This window comes from Homo sapiens, chromosome 11 (genome assembly GCF_000001405.40).
Source record: "Homo sapiens chromosome 11, GRCh38.p14 Primary Assembly".
In the NCBI taxonomy this organism is placed as follows: domain Eukaryota; kingdom Metazoa; phylum Chordata; class Mammalia; order Primates; family Hominidae; genus Homo; species Homo sapiens.
The window spans coordinates 35,517,761-35,530,801 of record NC_000011.10 but is presented as its reverse complement, the minus strand read 5'-3'; the positions used below and the strand labels follow the sequence as shown (position 1 = coordinate 35,530,801).

Here is a 13,041-nt window from a genome sequence, read left to right as displayed (position 1 = left end):
GACTTGCCCAGGTTCATACATAGTAGAGCCTTGATCCATATGGGGATCTTTTCACCACAGTGACTTTTTTGTGTGCCACTGTACTCCATTACCTTCTCTTGGAGTTATTCTATTTTTTGTTTTCTTCCCTACCCAAATGACTCAACTGTTTTTGAGTTAGCCACTTGGACTGTGGTCAACGTTTTTGCCAGTGTTCTCTGTAAAGCTTTGCAGTTCAGTTGCATAGCAGACAACATTTTTAAAAATTGAAGTTTATAAATATACATATGGATGTCAAGAACAGGTTTCCCCAAGTGATTCAGGAGCATATTAACTATGAAGGAGAAAAGCTTGCCGACTTTCAGCAATTTGTGTGAACAATGACATAGAGCCAGAAGAATGTGGCCTGAGAAAGAACCACAGTTGTACCTACCCCCTTGCTGGCTCCCAGTGGAAGGGAATGGAGCTGAGCCAGACCTGAGGCAGAACATGATTGCTCATTGTGTAGGTGAACAGCCGGGATTCATTAGGGCTGGAGACTTCCATGAAGGGGCCAGTTACAGCAGGCTCCAGTGGAAGGGCCCTTTGTCTTTTCCACAATCCTGCCCTTCTCCATCTCTGGCCTTGGCTGACTTGAACTTGGTGTTTTGCACAGCTGATGGAAACCAAACTTAATTACCAGAAGTCTGGGATGCCTCTTATAGGTTTGCAGACCAGTTCTACCTCTGGCCTGTTTCCTCTGGCTTTCCCAGTGTGTGGTTGCTGCTTAGCTGCTGATCTGCAGAAGTGATAGCTGGGAGATAGAGGGAACTGTAAGAATTCACAAAGACAGTCTCCTCTGCTGTTTCTCCCTGTGGATTCACATGCAACCAGCCTCCCTGGTGGCACTGAAAAAGGTACCATGTGAAAATTAGTGGGTATTATGACTTGTAATTAAATGGGTGGCCTGACTCTGTCTATTACAGCCAATTTTTTATTCCTGATGCTGATTATTAGTAGATAATTCTTAATTCCAGGTATCATGCCCTATCTCCCAGCATGCCACTTTGTCTTTTTCATACACAGCCTTTCTTGTGATTTATTCTCCCCGAAGCAAGCAGTGGTAGGAGGTGAGGGCAGAGGGGGAGATAAGCATCACAGAAACAGTTAACATTTACTGATATCTTAGTATATTTTAGGCACTGTTTTGAGCTCTTTACTCTAGCCCTAATGGCAACAGGTACTATTCTTCAGACTTAACAGATGAGGAAACCAAGGCCATCATATGTGAAATAACATGCCCAAGTGTACACAGGTAGCGAGTGGTCCATCTGCATTCAACATTAGTCAGTATGGTCCAGAGCAAGTGCTCTTAAGTCAGAAATAGTTTTTTAAAGGTGAGGAGGAGGTGAGAGGGCCCTCCAAATGTCCACTGTGCAGTTTATAGCCTAGACTCAATGATTGTATATATTCACAAAATCACTTTCCCCAAATCTGAGAAATATTTGGTCCATTTTTCAATTTTAACTTACGAAGATTAGTGATTCTAAAAAAGTTGGGAGTTTGCAAATGAGAAGGCTATGGCTCCCTCTTATTCAAAAACCTGCATGCAAAAATTTGCATATGATTTTGGAAGATTCAAAGTCCCTCAAAAAACCCCATCTCAACCAGGAGCTTCCAGATTAAGAATCCTTGATTTAGAACAATACTAAACTCTATCAATATGAAAAATGCAGTTGACCATAATGGGGACAGAGAAAGGTAAACTTGTGTAGGAAAACAGAAATTTGTGTAGGGCTGAATGTCCTCAGTAAACTACTGACTTTTCTGTGTCATAATAACAGTTCTCCTCTTTCTCTTCCAGCCCTGGGATTATTGTGCAGTTCAACAAGGTAATATCTGATTACTGCTTTGACTTCTCCAGAAAAATACATCCTCCACCTTTGCAGAGCATCTTTTTGAGAGTTTCTTTCCAGGTCCTCAGCTCTAGGAAATTTACAAACCCAAATTAGTGACAACAAACTAACAAATCAACTCTTGAAGGGGATTCCAGAAACAGAAGAAGGGCCTCTGTTTCCAGACCCCTGAACCTAGAGAAGTAAAGACCTGGTACCAGGGACTTCCTTAGCAAATAGCCAAACAGGTTTGTTGGGAAGGAAAAATAATCTTTCTTCCCTACCCATCTTAGATTCCTTGGCTGTGGCCCTGTAAATTAGAATGACAAAAAAAAGAAAAAACAGATTAACAAGAGAAAAACAAACAAAAGTTTTTTATTAACTTGTGCATGGTGCTTACATGTTGAAATACCTAGTGAGGAGTAACTCAAAGAGATGGTTAGAATTTGGGTTCATATTGCATTTTTAAAAAGAACAATAAATTTGCAGAGAAGTGGCAAGACAAACAAAAAGGACTTTGAGCTTCTAGGGGTAGCAAATTATGGGAAGATAAATAAATGGGGGTCCTAATGGGAGATAAGACTAGTTAGTAAGTTTTGGTATGTAGATTCCTCTGGGCTGATAAGGGTCTAGGGTTGTCTCCAATGATTAACTTCTGTCCGTCCTGGTAGAGAGGGGAGGTGGAGACACTATACTTTTATAAATTCAAGTCTGCTTTTAGGAAAATGGGGGGAGAACAGAGACCTATTCTTGTATCTACTTCTTCTTAACTGCTTTCAGCTCAAAATAATCCTTATGCCAAAGGGGCATATTTGGGGGTGGTATAGACTGCTATCCTTCAGGTTCATCACTTAGAGCCCCATTCTGTCAGGGGGATGCAATTCATGTAGGGATGAGGCTGCTTGGTATTGACTCAGAGAGGTGTGTGTGGTGGGGGCTGGGAGGTGGGGAGAGGGAAGATGAAAAGAAACCCCACGTGTCATGGGAAGGACCAGGTGGAGATAGTTGAATCATGGGGACAGTTACCCCCATAAAAGTTTTCATTTTGTTCTCTAGATGTTGGTGGGCCCTGGTGGTTTAGGAGTAAGGTGTGCTGAGCTCGAAGCAAAGTCTTGGGAAGAGAAGTCACCCTGGACTATTGATGAAGGCCTGGAGTAAAGATTAAGAAATGGAAGTGGAAGGGAAAAGATAAGGGGAGAAACCTGAGGAAGGTAGAATCTGTAAAGCTCAGGTGCCGTCAGCTGGAGTTGAAACAGACTCCTGAGAGGCTCTTATGCCTACAGTTATTTGGGAACTAAGTCATCTTCTTCCCACTCCCATCACCAAAGGACCAGGACTGGTTGGCCAGCAACAAGGTGAACCTCCCTTCTTCGAACCTCTGCCCTCTACCTCTTAGGTATATGCTGCCCTCTGGTATTCTGCTCCTGTTTAAGGCTACTCTTGGTGCTTATTTTAACTGATTTCATCTCGATATGGAAGTTGAGTGTAGGAACAAGACTCATACCATGAGATGTTCTTGGGGGCAGTCTCAGGTCAGATAATAGAGATAATGATTAATATTTAGTGTGCACTTAATATGTGGTAGGCTCTGTGCTATGGGCCTTACATGCGTAATCTTATTAAATTCTTCCAGTGATCTACAAAGTAGGTTTGATTATTATTTCCATTTTATAGATGAGAAGACTGAGATTCAGAGAGTTAACTTGCTTAAGGTCACACAGCCAGAAAGTGGTGAATCAACAAAATTAGAACACAGGCCTGCTGAGTTCTTGCTTCCAGTCACTTCACTGCAATAGGCCCCCAGAAGCAGGGCTGGAGTTCAGAAATTCTTTCTAGTAGAGCACCTGTGTCAGGGCTCCTGACCTTCTGATCTGTCCTGAGCTTTACAGATTCTACCTTCCTCAGGTTTCTCCCCTTATCTTTTCCCTTCCACTTCCATTTCTTAATCCTTACTCCAGGCCTTCATCAATAGTCCAGGGTGACTTCTCTTCCCGAGACTTTGCTTTGAGCTCAGCACACCCTACTTGTAAACCACCAGGGCCCGCCAACATCTAGAGAACAAAATTAAAACTTTTATGGGGGTAACTGTCCCCATGATTCAATTATCTCCACCTGGTCCCTCCCATGACACGTGGGGTTTATGGGAACCACAATTCAAGATGAGGTTTGGGTGGGGACACAGCGAAGCCATATCAAATGGTGAAATACAATTCTGCATATGTAGCATCCTAAGAAGCTCTATAGCCTAGTGGCTAAGACTATAGCCTGTGGGCCTAAGCTGCCCGGGTTCAAACCCTGGCTCTGCCCCTCACTAACTGTGTGGCCTTGGATGAGTTATTGTAATCCTCAATGGTTCCGTTTCTCTAATTGTAAAATACAGAGGCTAGGTTTATTGTGAGGAATAATTGAGTTAATACATGTAAGGTACATGACACCTGGCACGGAGGAGTTTATTTTAAAAAGTCACCTATTATGAAACATCCTTCTTCCTCATTTCGAGATGTCACTTGCTATCTTGTACCTAAACTGAGCCCTTTTGGTGGAGGCAGTGAGGGTTCTTGTGTGTTCTTCGCCATCCCTGCCTGGCGTGTGCGCAGGAGCTATTTATGTTGCTGAATTCACCATCGTGGGGATCACAGGAAGAGGAAAACTTTTTCCAGTAGCTCAGGAGCTGCTTATGTCGCTGAATTCACCATGACGGGGATCATAGGAAGAGGAAAACTTTTTCCAGTAGCCTGTAGTTGCAAAAGATAATAAGCTTTCCAACCTGTGATCACCTGGAGCAAACGGAGAGGAAAGGAGATAAACGAGGAGTGTTGCGTGCGGAGTGGAGGGAGGCTCCCTTTCTCCTCCCATCACCAACTCCTCCTTCTCCTCAGGCCAGGCTTTTAATCAGGCTCCCCGCGTGCAGTCAGAGAGGGCAAAGCCAGCTCCCGTCTCAGCCTCCCGTAGGAAGATCTCCCGGCCTCACCTGAGCGCCCCGCAGCCCTGGGTACCTCTGCTCCCGCCCAGGGTCCTATGGCCCCTCCTCCCAGCACCCAACACTGGGACCCCACCTGTACCCAGGCTGGCCTCCCTCCCCCGCAGCTTCCTTTGCAGCCGCCGTCCGCGGGTCTCCAGGCGTGGCCACACCTCCCGGGGCCCCGCAAGGGTTAAGGCAGCAGAGAGGAGAGGTTTGGGCTGACGTCGCTCTGGCTGAAGGTGGTTCCCCTCAGATGAGGATGGGAGAGCCTGGCGAGCTGAAACCCGAGCTCCCGCTCAGCTGGGGCTCGGGGAGGTCCCTGTAAAACCCGCCTGCCCCCGGCCTCCCTGGGTCCCTCCTCTCCCTCCCCAGTAGACGCTCGGGCACCAGCCGCGGCAAGGATGGAGCTGGGTTGCTGGACGCAGTTGGGGCTCACTTTTCTTCAGCTCCTTCTCATCTCGTCCTTGCCAAGAGGTACTGTGAGTAGCGTCCGGGACACCCTAGGAGGACACCCTAGGAGGGAGCATTTTCCTCCTGGGGTCTGCCTGGGAGCAGGACTGGGAGTCTCAGGAGGTGGGCTGTGTGTGTTTGGGGTGAGGGGTTGAGGGGGGGTGGTGCTTTTCCAGTGATAATTTTAGGGACTTGGCTGGTGGTGCTGGAGCTCCTGTGGCCCTCCCTGAGACTGTGACGTGGTTTTGTCATCCCAAATCGTGGGGCTGTACTGTCTCAGGAAAGCGGACCAGCTCCTATTTTATTTGCTCTTTTTATCATTTTAAAAGTACCAAATTGCCTTAGGGAATCAATTCTGAGTTACCCGCTCTGACTTGCAAAAGCGAAGTTTCTCTTGGAAAGGGCTCCCTCAGAGGTGAGCAAGAAAGAAAGAAGAGAGGGAAAGAAAGAAAGGAATAAAGAGCAGGGCTTGCTTGGTGTTCTTCTGGTGAATCTTGCTTCACGAACTCCTACAGCCATACCCCTTCGGAGTAGATCCAAGCACAGGAGATTGACTCACTCAGCATATATAGACACACTTCCTTTCTGATGAGAGTGAGAAAGAAGAAAAAGCCAAGGTTAAAAGTGCAGATTGTTTCTGGGATGCATAGGGTTTGTTTTGAAAGAGCTCTGGCTTCTTTGGTTTTCATATATCATTTTCTAAGCCACAATCCCCAGGTCAAATGGGCTTCTGGGGACAAATGAGGCTGGGACATGATACGGAGATCCAGCTAAGGGCAGAAGCGAGGACATGGCAGATCCTGCTTGCTGGCAGGCGGGGAAGTGGGAACGTCATAGGAACATCTGTCCTTCTATGGCCCAGGGGGTAAAGTGAGACCTCATGAGATGAGGGCAGGCCGAGATGTACAGAAATGACCAAACGGGGCAGCTCTGAATAGGGGCAGGTTATGTACGAGCCTTCGCTGCTTCCCTTCTGTGCTGGTTACCTGTCACCTGAACTCTATCTGAGAGCTGGGTGCTCTGCCGCTGCAAGTAGCTGGCAAGTGCCTGAGAATGAAACAGGCCAGGTCGGGTGGGGAGGATACTAAATGCAATAACCTGTGTAGAAGGGAAACTTAGCCATAGGCACATCCCTTCATGATCAACGAAAAGCTGAGATACACAAACCCCCCTGCCCTTCATTTTGGTCAATACTTTCCATCTACCTAGAGCCTGCCTGCCCAGGTAGGATCTTCCTTAATGATTTACAATAAAGATGGTGAGTGTTTCATTTGAATTTTGCCTCCATGGTGTCTGGAGCAGCCCAAAGACAATAATAAAGGAAGAAGGAGCCCTTCATAAGGGCTGACAATCCATAAACCTAAACACTTGCCTAGGGGTAAGTGGGTGACTTTGCATTAAGGCACCTCCCTACTTCATCTTCGCCTTTGCATGGTGTCGGTGGACCAGCTCCAGAGGACCTGGTTCTTCTCAGAGTGCCAGGGCTCAGTGGATTTGATTCCTCAGGGTTACATCAGCGTTCCCCTGCTTCCTGTTTTATTACATGGCAGGTGAGGCGCTTCAAAGCCATAAAAGTTTAAAAGAAAATAAAAAAACCTGAGCTGGCTCTTTTTCCTAGCCCAGAATCTGAAAAATCCATTTATTTCTGACCCGAGAACCTCTTTTACCTTTGGCTGTGAAAAAGCTTCAGAGAGGATACGCAGTTTGTTGGTAGCTAAACTGCTGCCTGAACCAGAGCGCAGCTTCATGTGTTTAGCAAGGATATTTTAGTTGTTGAATGTTTTACTCACATTTCGAGGGAAGACGGAGGAATAGCGTGGAGAAGGAAAATATTTCCTCAAGGAGTGAAGGAAGTCCACTCCCTGCTGGGATGCTGAATCTGGCCCCAGGCAAGAAAAGCTTGGAAGCGTATTTCCTCTAATTAACTTTTCTAAAAAGAGTATTTGCTGAATTGTAAACATCCACTGGGATGGTACCAGAGAGTGTTGTTTCTCACTGGCATGTGACACATGTTGGGAGGATGAGAATCCAAACATGAGGCCAAGCGATAACCCAACATAAACAGAATGAGGGGAGAAACCCAACTCCACTGACTTCACCAAATTGCGGTAGCTCTGCCAGTGTGATTCTGCCGAAGAGGAAAACCTCATTTAAAATATGGGACTCTTGGGAATGAAAACTTAATCTGGAGAACTTCACAAGTGTTGCTTCCAACAGACATTAACTTGTGGGGAATGAACATAAATGCAACCAGGGAAGATAATTTGAAGTGCAGATATTCAGTGGGCAGGAAAAGCCAGCCGAGAAAGGAAACATGGAAAGAAAGCAAGGGAGAAGGAGTGGCAAGAAAAATGAGATGTGAGATTACACTGGGATATGTTGGCAAATTCCTAGGAGAAAGCTAGGAAAATTGGGCCTTCTTGGCACGGGTGGATTTTTGCGGGGATCATGAAGAGGGTGTTCCCCTAATATACAATCTGAGAGCTCCTGGCATCCCCAACAGGAAAATAATTTAATGATGGGATCATGGAGTTTAGGAGCTGAGAGTGACTTTAGAAATTATTTTAGTATGAGTCCCTCAATTCAGAGGATGAAGAGATTAAACATCAAGCAAACATTTAGTGAACATTTATTAATGTGTCCAGTCTTTGAGCCAAAGGCTTCATATGCATTAATTCTCAGACCACCCTGAAATGGCATTGCTGTTATTATCCGTGTTTTACAGATGAGGTTCAGAGAGGTTCTATGATACACAGAGGTTTAAGGATATACAAGTATGGTTCCCCCAAAAATTGAACATAGAATTACCATTTGATTTAGCAATTCAATTTCTGGGTGTATACACAAAAGAATTGAAAGCAGGGACTTGATTAGATATGTTTACATCAATGTTCATAGCAGCATTATTCCCAATAGCCAAAAGGTGGAAACAACCCGAATGTCCATTGATAAACAAGATACAGTATACACCTACGACGGAATATTATTCAGCCTTAAAAATAAAGGATATTCTGATACGTGCTATAACACAGATGAACCTTAAGACCTTATGCTAAGTGAAAGAAGCCAGACACAAAAAGACAAATGTTCTGTGATGCCACTTATATGAGGTACTTAGAATAGTCAAATTCATGTAGACAGAAAGTAGGGTGGTAATTGCCAGGGCCCAGGAGAAGATGGAATGGGAGTTATTATTTGATGGGTACAGAGTTTCAATGTGGAATAGCAAAAAGTTCTGGAGATAGATGGTGGTGATGGTTGCACAATAGTATGAATGTACTTATGCCACTGAACCATGCACTTAAAAACGATTTGAGGCAGGCGCAGTGGCTCATGCCTATAATCCCAGCACTTTGGGAGGCCAGGGCGGGCAGATCACGAGGTCAGGAGATCGAGGCCATCCTGGCTAACACAGTGAAACCCTGTCTCTACTAAAAATACAAAAAATTAGCTGGGCGTGGTGGCAGGCGCCTGTAGTCCCAGCTACTCGGGAGGCTGAGGCAGGAGAATGGTGTGAACCTGGGAGGTGGAGCTTGCAGGGAGCCAAGATCGCGCCACTGCACTCCAGCTTGGGCGACAGAGTGAGACTCTGTCTCCAAAACAAAACAAAACAAAAAAAAACCAAACAAAAAACGATTTGAAAGGTAATTTTTTGTTATGTATATATTTTCCACAATAAATAAATAAACAACTACACTGGCAGAGTAGTGGAGCCCAGGGTGAGCTCAGGCTGTCTAGTTTCTGAACCCAAGTTCCTCCGTTACCTGGAGGACATATATTCACACATCCAGCACATGGACTGATTATGCTGATGGACATCTAACTTTGTTAGGGTTTCAGGATGCACATGAAGCAGGGGAAAGAGAGCCCTTGCTAGCTCCTGTTTTACTGGCATTGTTGCTGCTTCTTGGCTGGTTGTGGCAAAGAGGGAGACTGTGCTGATAGACCAGAAACTGGCAGCCTTTGGAGCCAAAAGGCCTGCAGAATTTATTTAGTAGGACACAAGTGCTTCAGAGTGTTTTGAACCTGAATGTCTTGAGGTAGGCTGGATCCTCTCTAGGGTCTGACACTCCACCTCTCAACCCATATGTTTAATACCTGCTAATCCTTACTAGCATTTGAAGTTTTGACCTCCATTTCTGAGAGGGATGGGACAGGAAGGGGGAATGAGAGGGAGAAGGTGGAAGGCTGGATGGTGAATGGAGGGAAACAAGGGAGTTCAGCTGCTGAGGACTAATTGGCCAACAGGATTTTTCAGAGCATCTGGTACATCAGACTTTTATCAGTGTCTAACATATTTTAATCTGTATATTTCATGGAGCATAATCTTACCTCTCTCTGTGACCTCCAACTCTTTAGTAAAATGTTTTACTTTCATGAATGCCCTTGAGCATAAGCTTTCAGTGGAAACTGAAGACAGGGCTGGGTGTTATATCTGGGTCAATAACCTGTGAACAAAGCACCTTAGACATGGGAGCCCAGAAGCAGAGGTGACCTAGAGCGCGTAAGTCCCTCAGGAATATGCAGAAGTCTTGGGGAGGGCTTTAGAATGCCATTGGCATGGACAATGGATTTGACTTAATCTTATCCACATCTGGGTTATACTGGCTAGACAGAAATGGCCAACATAATGGTGCCTGGGACCTAATGACAGGTCTTAGATCTGAAAATTATTTCCATCTGCCCCACTGGGGTGGCCAATCCTGATGCAAAAGAAAACTTCTCTACCTGCCTCCCCTGAGACCAGCTCTAGAAGCTGCAGTTGATTTGGGGTGTAAGCAAATGGGGAAAAGTGCCATTTCCATGATAAATGAGGGAATATTGTGCCCCATTCCCCCCTCATTGGGGAGGAGCTGTCATCCTCACTTTGTGGATATTTGAAAGTCACAAGAGCCCAGCCTCCCTCCTCTTTTATTTTAAAGGGGAGGGAAATGCAATGTTTACATTTTCCAGTTCCTAAATTCCAGGGCAGAGAACCCAGAGGCCAGCTGGAAAACTGAAAGCACCAGATCAGTGGCAGAAACTCTATTAGATTCCAAGCCTGGTCTATGTTTAAGGAATTCTGTTTGTCAGTCATCTCAACACCTGGGCGAGAGCTTTAGATTAAAATGAAGAGAAAGAAGTAAAAAATTCAGGACACACCAGATCTCATACCTGTAAACAGAACTGCTCAAGGAAGGCAGAGAATTGGAGTTGGCTGGAGATATTAATCTCTGAATCAGTGTGACTGCTACCTCCTACTCAACTCTACCCCTTTTACTTGGTTGCAGTTGTCTATGAGACAGACTCAGGGCCCACGTGGGTTGAGAGTGGAGTAAGTAGGGGTTGCACATCAAGGCATCTTTACCCTTGATGATACAATCATCAATGGTGGAAACACCTTTGAAGAGGCTTCCATTCTAGCATACCTAAGGAAATGAATCCCAAGTTTGGCTATCCAAATAATTTATTGAGTTTGTGGTAAACACTAGGCACTCCCGTATATGCTTTATATATATTTACTTAATCCTCACCACAAACCTAGGAGGTAAGTACTATTGTTGTTTGCCCCCACTTCATACACAAAAGAGCTTAGGCAAAGGGTTTCAGTACCTGCCCAGGTCATATAGCTGGATATCCATGTTTTTGAATCCAGTCTGACTCCATAAGGCATGCCCTGAAATGTGACACACCACCACCACAGTAAGCAGTAGGTCCAACGGTGGCAGATCTGCTGGCTGTATTTTGGCGAAATGATAAAAAATCATGGTGTTAGTAAGGGTGTCTGATTATCCCTGGAACATCCCAAGTGCCCAGATTGGCCTGTGTCAAGTCATGTTCTCACCTCTGTGGAGGTGGAGTGGATGCAGGAAAAAGACAGAGGCATCAGCAGCCCCAGTAGCACCACATGGAACCCAAGAGGAGCCATTCCCTAGAGGAAACAGGGGTGCCAGGCAGACCAAAAGTCCAACCAGTTTCTGGGACAGCTGTCCATGGTGTCATGTACCTTGCTCCCAGTAGACATGAGAGGTGAGAATTTCTTTGTCCCATGGTAAATTTTTATCATCCAAATCACATGTCTGTTTGCAGAGGAACAGAATTGCTAATGAGACCATTTATTCCAGTGTGGCCCTGACATTGTGTATGTCTGCTCCTTTATGGATGTGTTCTGTGTAAACTCTTAAGCCATGGGATGGGAGGAGCAGACCTGGAGTGAATAAGCGGGAGCATTTTTCCCCCTTCTTTTTTGGCAAAACATAGTTGATGAATATTGCAGGGGATGGAGACTCAATCCCTTTCCTCTAATCCTAAGATGGGTTTTAACCAATTCATCTCAACCTTGAATGAGGATCTACTGTCTATCAGACACCAGTGTCCTGGATCTTATGTCAGCTATTTAAAGAAGTGGCCCCCTTGGCTGAGCAGCTATGAAGACTACTATTTCTCTCACTCTTCTCTCTCTGGTGTTGGATAAATGCCTTTATTTCTGCAGTCTGGGCATCTTTATCATTGCCCTCTCTGAGGTTCTGGCTGTCTCAGAGGGTTGAGTTAGTGGTTTGGCAGCAAGCATCTCTGTAAGTAGAAGTCTGGTCAGTTGACTTGATGTTTGGAAAACCAGGCTGTTGCTGCCAGAACAGAGTGAGGAACACATTTAGCTAACTTTAGCTCGGGTGAGACACAATTGTCCTCACACACTGACACAACAACTGTCCTCATGCACTGAATTGATGGTGGGTTAAAAAAATTCCAGCTAGCTTAATGAAAAACCACTGGATGGAGAGGGGATGTTGGGTTGTTTTGCTTGAAATCAAATGAATTGTTGGATGACTCCAAGAAACTAAAGCATCAATGTTTTTCAAATCCAGTTGCACTTCTATTTACTTTATAATTCCACTGGATGGTATAAGGGAAAAAAAGACAAAAAGAGGCTCTGTGGTCAAACAACTTGAAGTAATCAGTTAATTCTCTGATCACCTCAAGTTGTTTGACCACAGAGCCTCTTTTTGTCTTTTCCTTTATACCATCCAGTGGAATTAGTGCTCCGTGGAATACAGCTTGGAAAACTCTGATCTCTCACCCGTAAGGCATAAGACGTGGAAGAATATCTCACCATTAAAGAGGAAAGGGTAAGAAGGGAATTTGAAAGTCTAAGAAACATGAGCCTCCCTTTAGACTTTTGCATCCACCATGGGATCCCTCCTTAGAAGTTAACGAGAATGATGGAGAACACCTGAAATGTCCTAAGACAAGTTGCCTGGGCTTAGCTTCTACCTGGTATCATCTACTCCTATAATTTTCAACCTACCTTTGCTTACTTGGATACAAGCAGAAGTGAGGACATGGCTGGTGGTAAGGAATCCTCATTACAACACTTTTTGGTCTGGCTTTTTGCCTCCCAGGGGGTTAACTGCCTGCTTCTCAATGGTGTTCAGCCTCCCTTTTGGGCAAGCCTGGTCCTGTGGCCAATGCACTGGTAGAACAGAATGGGTAAGTATCTCAAGCCCTCGTGGAAATGAGATACAAATTGCAGTCAACAAAAATATTCACTAATGGACCCAATGGATTCCTCTTTCTGTACAATAGAGACTCTGAAAAGTCACAGCAAGAGAAGATTCTAACATCGGTCTTTGTCACAAATAGCCTTTACACTTGGAATCACACATGCTCCCATGTCCATATTCATGTATTTATTTAGTAATCCTTATCAAGCCCCTATCGGGTGCCAGGCATGGTTATAGGTGTTGGCAATATCAAGATGAACAGGACAAAGTCCTTTTTCTGAAGGCACTTGCAATC

At 45.0% G+C, this 13,041-nt stretch overlaps 1 protein-coding gene across 4 annotated transcripts in view; it reads left to right on the top strand.

The window, feature by feature from the left end:
- The first annotated feature begins 501 nt into the window (after window positions 1-501).
- Window positions 502-13,041, top strand: part of PAMR1 (peptidase domain containing associated with muscle regeneration 1) — a 98,474-nt gene continuing 85,934 nt past the window's right edge. For 3 of the 4 annotated variants that reach the window (NM_001282676.2, NM_001001991.3, NM_015430.4), the window contains exon 1: window positions 5,186-5,289. In NM_001282676.2, the coding sequence (NP_001269605.1) occupies window positions 5,217-5,289 (73 nt within the window). In that variant the 5' untranslated portion in view covers window positions 5,186-5,216. Of the gene's footprint in view, window positions 876-1,822; window positions 1,851-5,185; window positions 5,290-13,041 lie in introns of those variants that run through there. The other variant, NM_001282675.2, reaches the window with a different exon arrangement.